At 52.2% G+C, this 18,272-nt stretch overlaps 1 protein-coding gene and 1 non-coding gene across 13 annotated transcripts in view, besides 8 other annotated features; both read left to right on the top strand.

Moving 5' to 3' along the window:
* ERGIC1 (endoplasmic reticulum-golgi intermediate compartment 1) overlaps positions 1 to 18,272 on the top strand; it is a 118,433-nt gene that overhangs the window by 66,575 nt on the left and 33,586 nt on the right. For 9 of the 12 annotated variants that reach the window (XM_047417410.1, XM_047417408.1, XM_047417404.1 and 6 more), the window contains exons 4-6: positions 8,842 to 8,936; positions 13,889 to 14,013; positions 14,693 to 14,865. In XM_047417410.1, the coding sequence (XP_047273366.1) occupies positions 8,842 to 8,936; positions 13,889 to 14,013; positions 14,693 to 14,865 (393 nt within the window). The remainder of the gene's footprint in view (positions 1 to 8,841; positions 8,937 to 13,888; positions 14,014 to 14,692; positions 14,866 to 18,272) is intronic. The other 3 variants (NM_001031711.3, XM_011534597.2, XM_047417411.1) reach the window with 2 other exon arrangements.
* Positions 911 to 1,421: an enhancer, noted in NCBI's record as "H3K4me1 hESC enhancer chr5:172328739-172329249 (GRCh37/hg19 assembly coordinates)". NCBI's record gives its function as "activates a minimal SCP1, AML or CMV promoter by ChIP-STARR-seq in primed H9 embryonic stem cells {active_cell/tissue: H9 hESC(primed)}" and the evidence as "EXISTENCE:reporter gene assay evidence [ECO:0000049][PMID:30033119]".
* Positions 3,321 to 4,278: an enhancer, noted in NCBI's record as "H3K27ac-H3K4me1 hESC enhancer chr5:172331149-172332106 (GRCh37/hg19 assembly coordinates)". NCBI's record gives its function as "activates a minimal SCP1, AML or CMV promoter by ChIP-STARR-seq in naive and primed H9 embryonic stem cells {active_cell/tissue: H9 hESC(naive and primed)}" and the evidence as "EXISTENCE:reporter gene assay evidence [ECO:0000049][PMID:30033119]".
* Positions 3,321 to 4,958: a biological region, named in NCBI's record as "P300/CBP strongly-dependent group 1 enhancer GRCh37_chr5:172331587-172332786".
* Positions 3,759 to 4,958: an enhancer, noted in NCBI's record as "P300/CBP strongly-dependent group 1 enhancer chr5:172331587-172332786 (GRCh37/hg19 assembly coordinates)". NCBI's record gives its function as "activates an origin of replication core promoter dependent on BRD2, BRD4, P300/CBP, MED14 and CDK7 cofactors, with strong dependence on P300/CBP, by STARR-seq in HCT116 cells {active_cell/tissue: HCT116}" and the evidence as "EXISTENCE:reporter gene assay evidence [ECO:0000049][PMID:35650434]".
* Positions 3,781 to 4,075: a silencer, noted in NCBI's record as "tiled region #6770; HepG2 Repressive non-DNase unmatched - State 14:Gen5', and K562 Repressive non-DNase unmatched - State 23:Low". NCBI's record gives its function as "represses a minimal TATA promoter and a strong SV40 promoter by Sharpr-MPRA in HepG2 and K562 cells {active_cell/tissue: HepG2 | K562}" and the evidence as "EXISTENCE:reporter gene assay evidence [ECO:0000049][PMID:27701403]".
* Positions 9,342 to 9,401: an enhancer, noted in NCBI's record as "active region_23648". NCBI's record gives its function as "activates an Ori minimal core promoter by ATAC-STARR-seq in GM12878 lymphoblastoid cells {active_cell/tissue: GM12878}" and the evidence as "EXISTENCE:reporter gene assay evidence [ECO:0000049][PMID:35858748]".
* Positions 13,975 to 14,475: an enhancer, noted in NCBI's record as "H3K4me1 hESC enhancer chr5:172341803-172342303 (GRCh37/hg19 assembly coordinates)". NCBI's record gives its function as "activates a minimal SCP1, AML or CMV promoter by ChIP-STARR-seq in primed H9 embryonic stem cells {active_cell/tissue: H9 hESC(primed)}" and the evidence as "EXISTENCE:reporter gene assay evidence [ECO:0000049][PMID:30033119]".
* MIR10523 (microRNA 10523) lies at positions 14,258 to 14,333 on the top strand. Its single transcript, NR_162113.1, has one exon. It is a non-coding gene; the product is annotated as a microRNA 10523 (primary transcript).
* Positions 17,561 to 18,062: an enhancer, noted in NCBI's record as "H3K4me1 hESC enhancer chr5:172345389-172345890 (GRCh37/hg19 assembly coordinates)". NCBI's record gives its function as "activates a minimal SCP1, AML or CMV promoter by ChIP-STARR-seq in primed H9 embryonic stem cells {active_cell/tissue: H9 hESC(primed)}" and the evidence as "EXISTENCE:reporter gene assay evidence [ECO:0000049][PMID:30033119]".

The following is an 18,272-nucleotide window of genomic DNA, read 5'->3' on the forward strand; positions in this document are numbered from 1 at the left end:
CTGTCCGGAGCTGAGGCCAGATGCTCCAGCTATGAAGATGCAGTGACCCTAATGTCCCCTTCCCTCCTTACTAAGGTATAGGAGTTGCCCGAAGGGCCTCCGCAGGATGAGCCCTAAGACTTACAGAGCAATCGAGAGGAGAAAGCATCACATCTTTGGGGTCTTCCAGTTGTCAGAAGCTTGTGGCCCCCAGGAAGCCCTACAGGTTTGGGAACAACTGAAGGTCACAGTTCTCGTCTTCTGGGTGGCTGGCCCTCTGTGGCAGGTTTGTGGCCACAGTGGGGTCAGTGCCCCCTCCCGCCACCATGAGATTGTAACTTAAGGAAATGAGGTCACCGTTGGTTGGATCAACATGGCTCCAGCCCCAGCCTGTGGTTATCAGTGACATAAGACGCTTATTCTGGCCTGGGCCTGGTGGGGGGTGAGGGGGAGGCACATTTGTTTGGGTGGTTGGGCTCCAACCTGGCTTTGGACAGGCCGTTAATTATCCTTGGGAAAGAGGCCCCACAGAGTGTTCTGAAACTCCGTGTTTTCAGGGAGCAGGCCCCTCCTCAGGCAACCTGGCCACAGAATGTTCCAGCCTCTGACTGCCCAGTCTCTGACTGCTCTGAATAATTATTAACCTCATGAGGATTTATACTAATAAAATATAGTAACTGGAACTCTCCACTGATAGTTTATAATGTAATATAACTCATGGTACCTTCCATACTATAACTCATGGATTTATAGTGTGCATGCCAACACCTAGGTCAGCACTTTATTTTTATTTTTATTTTTTGTTTGTTTGTTTTTTGAAACAGGGCCTCATTCTGTTGCCCGGGCTGGAGGGCAGTGGCTCAATTATGGCTTAATGTAGCCTCGACCTCCAGGGCGATCCTTCTGCCTCAGCCTCCCGAGTGGCTGGGACTACAGGCATGAGCCACCATGCCTGGCTAATTTTTTAATTCTTTGTAGAGACAGGGGTCTCCCTGTATGTTACCCAGGCTGGTCTCAAACTTCTGGGCTCAAGCAATTCTCCCACCTTGGCCTCCCAAAGTGCTGGGATTATAGGCATGCAGGCTGCCCCCGGCAGGTCAGCACTTCATGATGGTCATCTCATTGGTCATCGCAGAACCCCTTGAGGCAACTACTACTGTTCACCCCATGTTACAGCTGGGGAAACTGAGGCACCAGGCGGCCAAAACCACATGAAGCACTAAGTGGTGTAACTGGAGTCAAACACGGGTCTGTGATGCTGAAGCCCAGGCTCAGCACCTCCCCTCTGTTGTACCCCACTTCCCTGGCCCCAGCATTTCAGGGCCCCAGGCTCATGGGAGCCACTGCTTTTTGATCAGAATAGTTGACTGGAGGACTTGGATGCACCCTTCTAGGGTGAGGTGGCCAAACAGGCAGATGGAAGCCTGGGAGGTGGGAGCTTGGAGGTCACCTGGAGGTCACGGTGTTCTCACAGGCTCCCCGTAGGAGGCCCGGAGTGGGGAGCAGTGGCTTAACCAGGAGGAGGAGCTGGAAGTCTCCAGGTTGCCTGCCTTGAGCCTGGGTTGTGAGCCAGGCTGGGTAGAGGGCCCCAGGCATCCCATTAAGGAGCATGAAGGACATTGCTCTTAGCAATAGGAGGCCTGAGGGCGTCTGAGTGTGGAGTGACGGGTTTATGTCTCAGACAGCTCACCCCTTGTGAAGATGGGTTTGGTGTGGGGCCACCCAGAGGCCAAAGCCCTGGTGGGAGCTGGGGGATGACCCAAGTCAGAGGGGCCGAGGGTGCTGGGACTTTGGCTTTGGAGCAGGGGTGGGCAGAACCCGGTGACTGGCTGTCGAGGGATGTATTTTAGACATCCACCTGGTTGGTAATAGATGCACATACTTTTACCTGGACGACTCAGGATTTGAAACTCAAGGCTCCGGAGCACGTGCTTGCAGAATCTCCATCCCTCCCTCCACCCCACCCCAAGCCCTTGCGGCAGGCCTCACCGCCGCCTAAGTTTCCATTCGATCAAATTTTGAAGCATAGAGGTCAGAGACTTCAGGCAGGAATCTGAACTATTTAAGTGCTCTTCAAAAAGCAAATAAAATTGTTTTGTATAGATGTCATCGAACTCATGCCTCAGACTAGAATTTCAAGGCCCTCCACCACATTCCATTTACACTCCCCCCACCCACACCTCCCCAGGCCCTTGCGTACCTCTCCCTACAAGGCCACTGTCCACCCACACCCCCACCCTCCCACGCACTCGCCTGACTCCCTGACGCCATCTGGCGTCCCCCACCTGGAATGTGCTCCCGACTGCTCCACCAGCGCGTGCCTTCCCTGCATCCTGGGAGTTCTGCTGAGGACTCCCTCCTCCACTCAGGCTCATTCCACTGAAGTTTGTGAGCACACGCTCTGTGCTGAGGCTCAGGGAGCCCTCGTCCTGGGGGTGTTGACGGGAGTGGGAGAGGCTTGTGGGACAGACGCAACTGGACCCCTAAGCACCCCTGTACCCTGCAGGCACCTGGGCCCTGGTGGGAGGGGACACACCTGAAGATTATGAAAAAGGACTAGGATGCCTGCATCACATGTCCACTGAGGGCCACCGGCCCCTCAGCTTTTCACCGATTCCCATCCCATCCAGGCAGTGCAATGCCTTGGAAAGAGCATGGGCTCTGGGCCCCCTGTCCCTGGGCTCAGATCCTGCCTCTGCCTCCTCTTGGTCCTATGATCTTGGCCAGCCAGCTGTGCTCCTCTGAGCCTGGTTTCATCGACGTGAAGGGAGAATAGTACCCTTATTAAACACTGGATCAACTCCTTGAGCATCGATATTAATAATAATGATAAAAACCATGGACATTTATTGAGCACTTACTGTTTACTAAGACCACACTTAGCATTGCTCTTGTTCTCATTTGATCTTCTCAGCAACCCCATAGCAACCCCTATGATTGTCCCCATTTTACATCTGGGGAAACTGATGGATGGGAAGCCCCTTGCCCAAGTCAATCAGCCAAGAGGTGGCAGAGCCAGGATTCGAACCCTGGTAGCCTAGGCTTTGAACCCTGGTAGCCTAGGCTTCGAACCCTGGTAGCCTAGGCTTCCCCTGCACTGCTGTATTTTCTTTACCAAGAAGGGTGTGGAATCGGCCCTCAAGAGAGAGATGAGTCTCACACATACACACACACACACACACACATTGACTCACACTAACATACACACACTCACTCACTCTCCTGCCCTGGGGCAGCCAACAGCTTGACCTGGCAGTCATCCAGCAGCCCTGTGAAGTAGACGGAATCTTTATCCTTATTTTCCTCTTTTTCTCTCCTTTCCTCTCTCCCTCCTTCCTTTCCTTTCTTATTTTCTTATTTTAGTGAGGTATGTGTAACTTACATACAGCAAAGCATACAAATATTAAGGTAGAGGCCTGATGAATTTTCACCTGTGTTTACACACGTAACCATCACTCTGATGAAGACATAATACATTCTGTCACCAAAGAAGGGTCCCTTGAGCCCCTCCCAGTCAGTAGCCCCCACCACTATTATTCTGACTTCCATTGCCATAGATTAATTTTGCTGATTTTCGAACCGATTGAAAGCTTTTCCAGTTTTACAGATGAGGAAACTGAGGCTCAGAGAGGTGAAGCAGTGTGTCCTAGGTCTCCCAGCTCCTAAGTGGCAGAGCCAGGAGGTGAGCCCACACCGGTCTGCCACTGCCCCCATAGGCCTTCCCACTGCCCACACTGGTGACAGGGGAGTCAGGCCCATGGAAGTCCTCAAACCACAATGAATCCACAAAAAACATTTCCTTTTCTTCCAGGTGGGTTGATTTCTGGCAGCCCGTTGGCCTTTTAAAATCAGTTCAGCCCTAGCCAATGAAGTTAGTTAGCCTTGGCAGGCCCCTGCCATGGGGTGGTTGTGGGTGAGCTCGTGGCGCTGGCTGGGGTGGCAGGAAGCCAGCAGCCCTGGAACATTTGCCTTGGACACGAAGGCGAAGGCGGCTTTATTGACCTCATCAGGCAGCCCAGGTGATTGAATTGTGTTTATCTCACAGCCTGGGGCCCTCCAGGAAGGAGCCTGGGAGCAGCCAGTTCTGGCCTTACATAACCAGCCTGGCCAGAGCGCCTCAGGCCGTCCCTGCCCAGCACCGCAGCCCCCTTGTTCTGGGTGGCCCTCTAGCCCTGCGGAGCCTGTTCTCTGCTTATTCTGGTTAGGAAGACAGGGACCCACGCCTGGGAGAGGCTTCTTGGGGCCTTGTGGGTGAGCTCACCTTGGCGCCACACCTGGGATTCACTTTGCTCTTGGCTGAGGTCACCTCCAGAGGGTTGCCAGTGGATGACATCATCCCACAATCCCTCAGTGCTGTGCGGAGGCCCAGCCTCGCCAGGTGGGAAAGGTGAGTTGCTTCAAGGAAGAGTCTCAGGCAGCTTCCTGGCTGGGAAGGGAAGCCCAGGCTCTCCTTAGTTGACTGTGTGTTAATCACCCAGCAATTTCATTACTCAACAGCTCTCCAGAGTTGCACATTACAGCTGGGGTAGAAATTGGGTGCTGAAGGCCAGGCAGAGCATTTGGCTGTAGGGAGGCCGATCCTCCTCGGGCCTGTTACCGGCGGGTCTTTGTTCTTAGACCTGGGGTTCTTGGCCTCACGGATTCCAAGGAATGGAACGTTGGGCCATGCGGTGAGTGTTACAGCTCTATTGGAAGCCGTGGGTCACGGAAGAGAACTGTGGAACCCAGCGACTAGTGTGCAGCTCATTTAGGACAAACCCGGGCACTTAGCCACGCAGGAACAATGGCCAGCCTCTAGTCCGATCAGGAGCGGCAATGGGAGCCTCGCTGAATAAGCACAGCGGACACCCTGCCGGATCCAGAGGGGTGGAAGTCAGCGGTGGGTCTGTGACGACTGCGATCAGCACCACGAGCTAAAGCTCAGCTCGAGCCGGAACACAGACCAGAAGAGTGTGTAGTTGCAAGACTTAATAGAGTGAAAACAGAACTCCCATACAAAGGAGGGACCAAAAGGGGGTTGCCCAATCCAGCTCGAATGCCTGGGTTTATATCCCCATCATTGTCCCTCCCCCTGTGCTCTCAGGCGATAGCTGATTTGACTGTTTCTTTACCTCCTGCTTTTAGCCTAATTGGTATTTCAGTGAGCTCCCTTTACTACCTGATTGGTCAGGTGTGAGCTGAGTTAGAAGCCCGGTGTTTAAAGGTGGGAGTGGTCACCTTCCCCAGCTAGGGTTAGGAATTCTTATTTGGCCTAGGAAATCCAGCTAGTCCTGTCTGTCATAACCTCCTGGGCTCCTGTTTGCCTCTCTCCCTCCAGCTCCTTTGCTCTTGGTGGCCTCTGATTGGGGCCAACACTACAAGCAAGGTCAAGCGCAGGTCCGTGTCTCCCCTCTCCCATCCTAAGGCTTCCCAGGACCAGGGCCCTCCTTCATTTTCTTCCTTGACCCTGATGCTGAGGAGAGGGCTGGGAGGCAGCCTGAGCTGTGGAAAGGCTGGGTTGAGATTCTAGCTCGGCCATTTCCTAGCATGTGACTCCGGGGATGGGACACACCCTCTCCGAGCCTGTTCCCTGGTTTTAAGATGGGGCTCAGGGCATTTCACAGGCGCACATGGGACAGCATGAATGCACGTAGTAGGCCTCCCCCAGCTTAACGAGTGGAGGCCCATCTGTTGCACTCTTGTCTCTGGGAATATCCTTGTGGGCCCCACAGAGAAGCCCCAGGTGTCTTTTCAGAGCCCACCGTTCCTTGTGAACAGCATCACACCGGGTGCTAGGGGCGCAAAGATGTGGTCTTAGTAAAAACGAAATTCCTTTGCCTTGGTCTGACTCATTCTTTCCCTAAGATGTGGCCATTTACAAAGCTCTCTTGGAGTCTTCATTGCTTAGATAGGGCAGTTCTCTTTTATTTATAGCCTAGGGACTGGACCCAAGGGGCCTAATAAATGTTTAAAATAACCACAGCCCAGCCACCTGAAGCACTGCCCCTTCAGCCGCCCCCTAGGCCAGGCCTTTAGATTTGGTTCCCTCTGGGTGGGGGGCATTATCGGGGAATCAGATGCGGCCATCAGACATCCAGCAGCTACTTGGGGATGCCTCAAGACACCTGGGCTCAGCACAGCTTCTGGCACTCAGCACCTCTCCCTCCTGCTGGTCCTGTTCCTCTTCCAAGGGCTCTCAGCCCAAAGAATGGGTCCAGGAAGAAACACAGCAGTGTGTCTGCATTCCCCCCTCACCTCACCCTCCTCCGCCCAGTCCCATCCATCAGCAAGTCCCGCCTGCTCTACGTGGGTTCCTACAGCCCTCCTCCTCTCCATTCCCATCCCACCCCATCCAAGGCGCCGCCATCCCCTGCCTGGTCTCCCTCTTGCACAGCAGCCCCTCCAGTGGGTCTTCCTTGCAGCAGCCAGAGGGAGCCCGTGTGAGTGCGAGCCTGACCCCGTGGCTGTGCTCATATCAAGCCTAAAGGCCTCGGCCAGGCACGGTGGCTCATGCCTGTAATCCCAGCACTTTGGGAGGCCGAGGCAGGCAGATCACCTGAGGTCAGGAGTTCAAGACCAGCCTGGCCAACCTGGTGAAACCCCACCTCTACTAAAAATACAAAAATTAGCCAGGCATGGTGGCGCATGCCAGTAGTCCCAGCTACTTGGGAGGCTGAGGGAGGAGAATCGCTTGAACCCGGGAGGCGGAGGTTGCAGTGAGCCGAGATCGCGCCACTGCACTCCAGCCTGAGGGACAGAGCAAGACTCTGTCAAAAAAAAAAAAAGTATAAAGGCCTCGTGCAGCCTCCTTACACTGCAACCACGGTGACCTTCATTCAGTTCCCCAAAGCAGCCATGCCCTCCCCAACCTCCAGGCCTTTGCACATGCTGCCAGGATGATGCCTACGCATCCCCCAGACCTCAATCACACCTCAGAGAGGTCTTCCCAGCCCCTTCTCCCCAAAGGTCAGTGGCCCTGTAGTCCCTGTCATGGCCCCCTGCAGCTTTCTGTCAAGTACTAATCAGCGTTGGGGGTGGCAGCATATTTAGGGGCTGAGTGATGTCTGGTTCTTGTGTCTATAAGCTTGAAGAAGGTAGAGACAGCATCTGTCTGATTCATTGCTGCTTCTGGCTCCTGACAGGTAGTAGGTACTCAAAAAAGTATTTGTTGAGCAAATTTGGATTGCTAACAGATGCCAACACTGTGCTGCTGACAGCAAGGTGACATGGCTGTCTGTGGAGCCACCTGCCCCTAAATATGGCCGATGCGGTCGACAGAATAATGACCCCCTGCCCCCTGTGATGTCTAGGTCCCTGTCCCTGATGTGTGTGGCCGTGTTACCTTGCATTCAAAAGGAACTTTGCAAATGTGATTACATTAAGGATCTCGAGATGGGGAGAGGATCCTGGGTTAGCCAGGTGGACTGGATGAAATCACAAGAGTTCCTGTAAGAGAGAGGTGGAGGCCAGGCACAGTGGCTCACGCCTGTAATCCCAGCACTTTGGGAGGCTGAGGCGGGGGCGGGGGGGGGGGGAGAGAGGGGAGGGGGGGAGGGGGGAGGGGGGGGGTGGATCATGAGGTCAGGAGTTCGGGACCAGCCTTGCCAATATGGTGAAACCCCATCTCTACTAAAAATACAAAAATTAGCTGGAGTGGTGGCACGCACCTGTAGTCACAGCTACTCGGGAGGCTGAGGCAGAATAATTGCTTGGACCTGGGAGATGGAGGTTGGAGTGAGCCGAGATCGCGCCACTGCACTCCAGCCTGGGTAACAGAGTGAGACTCTGTCTCAAAAAATAAAAAAAGAGAGAGGTGGAGGTCAGAGAAGGGGGAAGCTGCTGGCTTTGGAACTGGGAGAAGGGGCCACAAGCCTAGGCAGCGCCTAGAAGCTGAAAAAGGCAAGAAAATGCATTCTCCCAAGAACACAGCCCGTTTTAGACTTCTGACCTCCAAAAGCATAAGACAATAAATGTGTGTTGGTTTAAGCCATTCCCGTTGTGATAATTTGTTACAGCAGCCACAGGAAATTAATACAGCCGTCAAGTCGTTTCTCAGAACCGGTTCTGCCCCTACGGATGGGCATCAGGGAATTCCTGGCTTCCCGGCTGGGGGAAGGGGACCTCAAGAGAGGAGGCTGTAAGGTCCTCTGTGCCTGCTGGCGCCAGGCCCTGATCCCTTATAAGACCCCTATTTCTCATTTTAGTGTTCAAACCACCTTATTCGTAGTGGGTGGTGTTATCCCCACTTAACAGGTGTGTTCACAGAGGTGAGCATAGGAAGTGCCAGAACCAGAATTTGAACTTGAATCTGTCTGAAAGATATGCTCTTACCACCGTGCTATCTGACCCCACCCCTTCTCTTTCCTGAGCCCCAGCCCTCCCCTCTTTTTTTTTTTTTTTTTTGAGACGGAGTTTCACTCTTGTTGCCCAGGCTGGAGTGCAGTGGCGCAATCTCGGCTCACTGCAACCTCAGCCTCCTGGGTTCGTGATTTTCAGCCTCCCAAGTAGCTGGGATTTCAGGCATGCGCCACCACGCCCAGCTAATTTTGTATTTTTAGTAGAGATGAGGTTTCACCATGTTGGTCAGGCTAGTCTTGAACTCCTGACCTCAGGTGACCCACCCACCTTGACCTCCCAAAGTGCTGGGATAACAGGCATGAGCCTCTGCGCCCAGCCCAGCCCTCCCGTCCTGAGAGGTAAGGCTGCACTTGAAGAGTGCAGCCTAGACCCGTGCCTGAGGGCACAGGAGGTGCAGGCTCTGCCCAGGTGGAGTCTGGGTTATCTAAGTTGTGGTCACCAAGTGAAGTGATCCCCGGCTGTCCCCCGCAGCTGAGATCTTTGCCGCCATCTCAACAAAGGTTCCTATACTTGTCTTTCCCCTAGTGTGAACGAGCTCTATGTCGATGACCCAGACAAGGACAGCGGTGGCAAGATCGACGTCAGTCTGAACATCAGTTTACCCAATCTGCACTGCGAGTGTGAGTACTCCACGCAGCCCCTCCCTCCAGCAGGACACCTCCTTAGGGCAAATGTGTGTGTGCAGAAATGGCAAGATCTCCAGGACAAGCCAAGCCAACATATGGTTCTCCCCACTCTTTTTTGGAGGAGAATATAATTGCGTATGCATGCACTTGGAGGTTTTCTGGCATAATAAACACAAGACACTACTCATAGGGGTTAACCCTGGAGAGCAGCTGATTTGGTGCAGGGAGGTGGGATGTCTCTTAGGGTCATGTTACAGCTTCGCAGCAGAGCCTGAGAGTCTCATGCAAGTGACTTGTTGAGGGGAGGAAGCTGTAAGGGAGAAACGCAGGATAGGGCAGTACGACAGGATAAGCAAAGATGTGTGTTCAGCTGAAGTCCAAACTCAGCCTGATCTCACAGGATGCTGTGGGGTGTGAATGACACCATAGCATTTGTCACACCCAATAGCAATGGGACCAGGCTGTTATTATCCATGTCATTGGGTAATGGCTGCAGAGTGGTGTGCGTGGCAGGGGTCATATCACCTCCCAAGCATCTCAAGCGAGAAGACCTCCGGTCAGCCAAGAGCATTCATCTGGAGAAGGGCGCAGCTCTGAGTCATTGGCAGCTGACACCTAGAGAAGCTGGAGCGGTCCACCATCCATGAGAGAGTGCAGGACAGGGCTCAAGAGCATCTGCAACAGTGAAGGGCTGGGAGATTCCCTTTTTGACTTCACACCTATTTTGTTTTAACCAAAAGAATGAATTACTTCTTTTTTTTTTTTTTTTTTTTTGAGACGGAGTTTCACTCCTGTCACCCAGGCCGGAGTGCAATGGCACGATCTTGGCTCACTGCAACCTCTGCCTCCTGGGTTCAAGCGATTCTTCTGCCTCAGCCTCCCGAGTAGCTGGGATTACAGGTGCGCACCACCATGCCAAGCTAATTTTTGTATTTTTAGTAGAGACGGGGTTTCACCATGTTGGCCAGGCTGGTCTCGAACTCCTGACCTCAGGTGATCCACCCACCTCAGCCTCCCAAAGTGCTGAGATTACAGGCATGAGCCACCGTGCCTGGCCCAGAATGAATTACTTCTACAAAACAAAACTCATTTGAAGTCTGATTTGGAGTCAGATCCTGGCTCCTTTGCTGGCTAAAACTGTGACCTTGGCTAGGGTGACCTCTCCGAGCCTCAGATTCCTCATCTGCAAAATGGGCTTAGTAATGTCTGTTGTCTGAGGTTCTTGGGAGAATCTAATGCCATGGTCCCTAGACTTGTCAGCGAGTGGACTGGGCGCCCTCTCCTGGACTGGGGTTCCAGCCGTCCCTCTGCCCAGCCTGGCACAGAGCCTGCTGCAGGCCCTTCTCTCCCCACCCCCTCTTCCTGTTAAAGGACACAGCTGAGAGAACACTGGGTGCATCTCCGGCCAGAGATAGGAAGAGTCTCAGCCCTGTCATTGCTTTTGGTGAGATTTACGTCACAATTTTGAATCCTCGCTGGGCCCCAAGCCAGGGAACCTGTTGAAATAGGTCGGTCTTATTTTTTGTTATTTTTTTTCTTTCACTTAGAAAAATAATTCATCTGGCAGATTCTCATTCAGGAGTGACTGTATCTCTGGAACAAGGAAATTCTTAGTCAGACCAGAGGACTGGGACTAGTGTGGTAGGAAAGGGAAGAGATGTGGTTCCAGGAGGGGCCAGGCAACCTCCACCCCATTCCCTGCCATGCCCTGCTGGATCTGTGGGGCTATAACCTGAACCCCCAACCCCCTCACCCCTGTTAGAGCCCAGCATTCTGGCTTTTCTTTAAAAGAACTTCACATTTTTATTATAGGAAAAAACGCATGCTCATCATTGTACTTCTGGAAAACACAGGGAAGCAAAAGAGATCACCCATAACTCTGCCACCCGACAGCAGTGTTGGTGACATTTTGACATCATTCTGTCCAGCTGGCCTTCCTTTCTGTGTTTCTGAACATAGCTGAGATCGTACTGCATGTATGATCTCATATCCTGCTTTTAAAAATAATATTCTTCATTATACAACTAATAGACTATATTTCAATCTTAAGACATACATTCAAAAATACAAAAATAATATGTTTTTTAAAAAGCAAAAGTACCCCTCCCCTGTCCCCCTTCTTGTCCCAGCATGCCATCTTCCCCAAAGGACACCTCTGCTAGCAGGTGGGGCCCCCGTTCCCTACCCCTACATGTGTGTGCGTGTCTGTGAACATATATTGGGTTTGGGGTTGTTTTTGTTGTTATTGTTGTTTTTTCTTTTTACATAATTAATTGGGACCCTACCATATGGGAACCTTCTGGAGTTTCTTTTTTTTTTTTTTTCTAGCTAGTGTCTTGGAGCTGTTCTCATATTACTCATAATATGAGTAAAATAATAACAGCTGCCATTTATTCCATTCTTCCAGGCCAGGCCCTGTCCTGCGTCCTTTGGCTATATTAAATCCACTGGGATTTGAGGTATCTTAGCAGAATGGCTGAAGGGTGGGGGCTCAGAAGCAAATCCACCTGGATTTCATTCCAGGCTCTGCTGTTTCCTAGTGGTGAGGTCTCTGTGCCTCAGTTGCCCTAGATGTAGAATGGGACTGATAATATTATCTTCCCCACAGGGGTGTTTAAATGGTGTTTTGTTTTGTTTTGAGACAGAGTCTCACACTGTCACCCAGGCTGGAGTGCGATGGCGCGATCTTAGCTCACTGCAACCTCCGCCTCCCGGGTTCAAGCCATTCTCCTGCCTCAGCCTCCTGAGTAGCTGGGATTACAGGTGCCCGCCACCGTGCCCGGCTAATTTTTTGTATTCTTAGTAGAGATGGGGTTTCACTACTTTGGCCAGGTTGGTCTCAAACTCCTGACCTTGTGATCCACCCGCCTCAGCCTCCCAAAGTTCTGGGATTACAGGCGTGAGCCACCGCGCCCAGCCAAGAAGGTGTGTTCTTATATAAAAGGCACTTAGAAGAGAGTCTAGCACGTAGTAAGTGCTATTTTACTTTTCTTTTCTTTCTTTCTTTCTTTTTTTTTTTGAGATAGAGTTTTTCTCTGTTGCCCAGGCTGGAGTACAGTGGCATGATCTCAGCTCACTGCAACCTCCACCTCCCAGGTTCAAGCGATTGTCCTGCCTCAGCCTCCCAAGTAGCTGGGATTACAGGCACCTGCCACCATGCCCAGCTAATGTTTTGTGGTTTTAGTAGAGATGGGGTTCGCCATATTGGCCAGGCTGGTCTCGAACTGCTGGCCTCAAGTTATCCGCCCACCTTGGCCTCCCAAAGTGCTGCGATTACCGGCGTGAGCCACTGTGCCCAGTCGTTTTACTTTTCTTTAACCCTCACAACAAGCCTGTGATAGAAGAGGAAACTGAGGCACAGAGATTAGGTAACCTGCTCGAGGTCTCAGCGCTAGTAACTCAGCCACTGATCTGCTCTGAGCCTCCTCCACGCACCTGCATTTAGCCCATTCTTTGTACCTGCCGCACGGCACTGGGAAGAGGGCTGTTCCACTGGCTCCAGTGATAAGCAGTTGAATTGCTTCCAGTTGCCACTATTTCAGATAAGGTTGCCTGAGCAGCTTTGCACACACATCTGGACACACATTGTGGATCTAGAGGACAGGCTGCCAACATTGGAACTGCTGAGTGAAAAGCGGACCTGCTTGTGTTTTCTCTAAACTTCACATTATACCATTGGCATTTCCCATGTCCTGTGGACCCGTGAGGGTCATTTCGAATGGCTCCAGCACGTTCCCTTCTATGGCTGGATCCTCACTTACTTCTCTGTCCTCATCGAGGAACACAGAGTTGTTCCCAATTTTCCCTTTTAAGGTTGTCCCTCTTTAAAATTGCTTCCAGCTGTTCTTCCTCTGTATGGCACCTCCTTTCTAGCGCTCCTGCCAGGGAAATTCCTACATTTCCATAGTTCACAGGGATCATCTCACCACTGGCTACTTGGACCATCTCTGGGGATGCAGTTGGCATTGGCCTGCCCATTTTACAGATGGGGAAGCCATCTGAGTCCCAGTGAGGTGACAGAGGGCAGGGCCTATCTTTTCCCTTTGTGCATTCCTGGTGCTTATCATAGGGCTGGTAGCATAGGCGATGGGTAAAGGAAGGTGTGAATGAATGAATAAGTGAATGATGGATGAATGGATGGGGGGCCTGAGCCTATTCACCCCATAAACCCAAAAACTCTCTGAAGGCCAGGAACGGTGGCCTACACTTGTAATCCCAGCACTTTGGGAGGCTGAGGCAGGTGGATCACCTGAGGTCAGAAGTTCAAGACCAGCCTGGCCAACATGGTGAAACCCCGTCTCTACTAAAAATACAAAAAAAATTTTTTTGTATAGGCGGGCACCTATAATCCCAGCTACTTGGGAGGCTGAGGCAGGAGAATTGCTTGAATGCAGGAGGCGGAGGTTGCAGTGAGTCGAGAGCATGCCATTGCACACCAGCCTGGGCAAGAGAGCAAGACTCTGTCTCAAAAAAAAAAAAAAAAAAAAAAATACAAAGACTATCTGAGATACAAGAGCTAACATTTATTAAGCACTTTCCACCTAGCGTTCATCAGACCCTAAGCATTTTCTACATCTATGAACTATTTGATCCCCATAATCTTTCAAGGAGGGTTCAATTATGGTCAGCCCCCCATCTTACAGAGAAAGAAACTGAGGCATCCAGAGGTTAAGTACCTGAGGCAGGACCCAGATTCAGAGGACCAGTATGGCAGACCCCAGGGTGGCCCCGGGACCCCTACTATGCACTGCCCCCCTCGCCTCACGTTTAGCGGAGTCATTGTCCTGTCCCCTGTAGTCTTTGGACCCCAGACCATGAGCTCCTGGAGGTCCCCAGCCCGGCCTGCCCCTGCAATGGATGAATGAAGGCTCCCAGAGAGAACAGGCTGGCCCCCATCCTCCCGCGTCTCTGGGTTTGTGACTGTTGTCTCCCTTTGGCTCCTGCAGTGGTTGGGCTTGACATTCAGGATGAGATGGGCAGGCACGAAGTGGGCCACATCGACAACTCCATGAAGATCCCGCTGAACAATGGGGCAGGCTGCCGCTTCGAGGGGCAGTTCAGCATCAACAAGGTATGGAAGCCCTGCCTCAGCCCTTTCTACCTGCTCCCCTTTCCTGCTGTCTCCCCGCTCCCTGGAAACTGGTTGTGGAGGCACTCACTCGACCTGACCCTGACACAGCCCCCAGCAAGCGAGGGTTCGTGTCCAGCTGCCTGGCCGTTCCTGCTGAGAATCTGGATGGGGGTCCAGGCTCCCTGGGGTTTTAAGCCCCTGATGGCTGGTTCAGGAAGGAGCTACTCTTCTCTCCAGTGAGGGGGACAATGATGAGAAGACCTGAGGATTTGCAGCCCCCAGCCCTGGGTTCAAGTCCCAGCTCTACCCCTTCTTGGCCCCTACAAGTCACTTGACCCATCTTAGGCTGAGGGTGTGATGGCGATAATAGTATCACGATACCACCCACTTCACAAAGTTTGTGTGGGGATTAAATGAGCTAATGCAGATTCATTCATTCAGAAAAATTTTTGAATGGCACGTTCTGTGTTCCAGGGTCGGTGATAGGCTCTGGGGCAGCGTTCCTGGGCTGGTGGGGCTCCCATTCTGGTAGAGGGAGACAGTCTACAAACCAGAAAGCATCAGGGATGCTAAGTGCAGTGATGAGGAATAAAGCCAAGGGGAGTGAGATGAGGTGGGCTTGAAAGTACCTTGTCCGCTCAGAAGGACCATTCAAGGTTCACTGTTGTTTTGTCCTCAGAACCAGGAGCTTCAGATCCTAAGTCAAGTGGGTGAACGCAGTGCCCTTGGGAGGGCCGAGGCACCCGGTGGCAGCTGGCAGGGTTTTGCTCAGCACGTGCCGGCCTTCCTCGAAGCTCGGTACTGTCACAGTGGAGCCTCTCAACAACGCTGTGAGGCAGCACCATTTGACAGGTTAGGATGCTGGGGCCCAGAGAGGTTAAGTGTCTTGCCCGAGGTCACACAGCTATCTGCATGTCCCACAACTCCCCTTCCCAGCCCCAGCCAAACTGAGCCACTGGCCACTCCTGGCTTCTCCTTGTCCCTCCTGCAGCCTCTGCTCAGAACGCCCTTCCTCCAGACCCTGACACCTGAGCTGGGGTTGCAAAGTCACTGGCCACATCCAGCCCAAAGATAAATTTTGTTTGTCCAGTATAGCATTTAACTGCATCAGAACCAGTATGAAAAGACCAGGAATCCAGATTTCTGGCTTTTAAAAGTCAGAGGCTCTCACTACACTGGGTCCGTGTTCCCGCTATGACAATGACCTGGCACCAATGGGCAGTGTTCCCCTTTAGAGAGGGTGTGTGCTGTCCCTTCCCACAGTCCCTGGCAGGCGGCTGGAAGGCCAGGCCTGGTCATCTGTCAAGCAGGGTGGACTTCTTACGTGACAGTTCAGGGCTCCCTTAAGTGCTAAAGCAGAAGCTGCAAGGCTTTCTTAAGGTTTCGAGTGTTGCTGGGAGAAATCTGCTGCATGTTGTGGGTTAAAGGGAGTCTCTCACCAGCCCAGGCCCTCAGGAGGAGGAGATACCAGGAGGCAGGGATGCTGGGGGTCGTGGTTCACTGGGGGCTCTCTCTGCCCATGAGCTGCCACACAGCACCTTTGCCATGCCCCGTAATTTGGATTTTATGGTGGTTGTGATGGAAAGCCATTTGAGGGTTTTGAACAGGGAGGCAATGTAATCAGATTTATGCCTTAGAACTGGACTATCCAATAGGTTGCCACCAGCCACATAAGGCTATTTAAATTAATTCAAATTAAATGTACAATTCAGTCACTCATTCTCATCAACCACATTTCAAGTGCTCAAAGCCACGTGCTGGCTAGGGGCCACAGCGTTAGACAGTGCAGAGAGAAAGCACTTCCATCGCTGAGGAAAGTTCTGCTGGACCGCACACCCTTAGAAGGATGGCTCTGGTGGCCGGGCGCGGTGGCTCAAACCTGTAATCCCAGCACTTTGGGAGGCCGAGGTGGGTGGATCACGAGGTCAGGAGATCGAGACCATCCCGGCTAACATGGTGAAACCCTGCCTCTACTAAAAATACAAAAAAAAACAAAATTAGCCGGGCGTGGTTGCGGGCACCTGTAGTCCCAGCTACTCAGGAGGCTGAGGCGGGAGAATGGCATGAACCCGGGAGGTGGAGCTTGCAGTGAGCCAAGATCGTACCACTGCACTCCAGTCTGGGCGACAGAGTGAGACTCCATCTCAAAACAAACAAAAAAAGGATGGGGCTGGGCTGGAGAGGGTGGCAGGCAGTGGTTGTGGCAGTGGAGCTGGGGAGATGTGGTCGGATTAGGGAGGTAGAATCAATAAGACTCAGTGAAGAATCGGATGTGGGGGTAAGGGCACATGTGGAAGCAAAGAAACCTTTGACGTCTTTGTCTTGACAACCGGGTGGTCCTGTTTCTAGACATGGAAGCTTAGAAAAGCCTGGAGTCTGTGGGAAGTAGGTAGGGCTGGGCACTGGTCATTCCACTCTGGTTTCCTTTGGGGTTCCCATTAGGTGTCTACAGGGAGAGGTGAAATTGGAAGTTGGAGGTGTGGAGAGTTCAGGAGAGGGTTCTGGACCACAGATGTTGAGGTGGGAGTCATTAGTGAATAGATGATGTTGGAAGTCATGGGTCCTCAGAGTGGGGGCTCCTTAAGCCTCCAGGCCAGCAGCATCAGCATCACCTGGGAGATTGTTAGGAATGCAGATTCTCAGGCCCCCCTAAGACCCACCGACTCTGTGCTAGAACAAGCGCCCCTCAGAGATTCTGATGCCACTGAAGTTTGAGGAGCATTGGTTTAAGCAAGATTACCTACGGAGAGGCTGTAGATCCGTGTTCTAAACCTGGGGTCCACAGACACCCCCAAGAAGAGCGGATTGAATGCAAGAGATCTATGAAGTTGGATGGGGGAAAAATTGACATCTTTATTTTTGCTAAACTCGATCTAAAGTTTAGCATTTCCATCTGCGATGAATGTAGGCCACAAACCACAGTAGTATTAGCAGTGCCTGGGACCTCCTCAACAACAGAAATTGCCGGTATTTATAGCACGTTACAGTTGTTGCAGATAATTTCCAGAGACTGTTTATATGCACCACTGTTTTAAAATTACGGTGATTGGCCAGGTGCAGTGGCTCACACCTGTAATCCCAGCACTTTGGGAGGCCAAAGTGGGTGGATCACTTGAGGAGTTCAAGACCAGCCTGGTCAACATGTCAAAACCCTGTACCTACAAAAAAATACAAAAGTTAACCAAGCCTATGCTTGTAGTCACAGCTACTCGGGAGGCCGAGGTGGGAGGGTCTTCTGAGCCCAGGGAGGTAGAGGCTTCAGTGAGCTGAGATCGCACCACCACACTCCAGCCTGGGTGACAGAGTGAAACCCTTAATCAATCAGTCAATAAAAATTACAGTAATTATTAGACCCACCACTAGGTCATCTTATTTGATGCATCAGTAAAGCAGCATATTCAAATGTGGATTTTTAAATATTTTAATTACTATTTAAATATCTCTTTACTTTGTAATCCTATGCATTTTACGCATTAAAACATTTTAAGCATTTAAAACGTAGGTATCATTAGACTGGCAAAGGATCATCCGTGGCACCAAAAGCCTTAAGAACCTAAGGTCTGGAGAGAATTGCAGTTTGAGGACTGAGTTCTGGCGCCCCGCCCAGTCACTTCGAGGTGGGGAGATGCGGGGGTAACAAAAGGTGCAAGAAGGGGCAGTCGAACAGGAAGGAGGAAGCAAAGGCTGGGCGGAACCTGCAGCCTGGAAAAGAACATATGTATAGATATCAAAGAGCAGGGCTGGCGCTACCAGGCTCAGGAAGGCAGGCTTGGAATGGACAGTGATCTAAGTGCTGCAGAGAGTGCTCCAGAAAACGCTGATGATGAGGAGAGAAGGGGCCGCTGCAGGAGCCACGTCCTTACGAAGCAATGGGAGCCAGACGCAGGCCACAGTTGGGGGTTTAAGGCCTTGGAGAGGTTCACAGTGCCGGCAGGCAGGTGGGGGGTTGGTGGGGGACCTCTGCTGGGCCTCCATACCCTCCCTCTGTCCCCACCTCATCCTCTTGGGGAACCACTACTCACCCACAGGCCTCAGCTGATGTGGGTCCCTCAGGGGAAGTCCTCCCTCCCCTTCCCTGCCCACCCACATTCACTCCCCACCACGCCCCTCATCACGCTGCGGCTGCTGCCTGTGCCTCCTCCTTGACTTGGCCTCTCCCTTTGACCACTCCACTCAGGCTTTCGTGCTATTGAGCATCCACCTCACGCCTGGCTCTGTGCTTGGCGCTGGGCTGCAATGGGAGAGAAACAGCCATGCTC

Source organism: Homo sapiens, chromosome 5 (genome assembly GCF_000001405.40).
Source record: "Homo sapiens chromosome 5, GRCh38.p14 Primary Assembly".
In the NCBI taxonomy this organism is placed as follows: domain Eukaryota; kingdom Metazoa; phylum Chordata; class Mammalia; order Primates; family Hominidae; genus Homo; species Homo sapiens.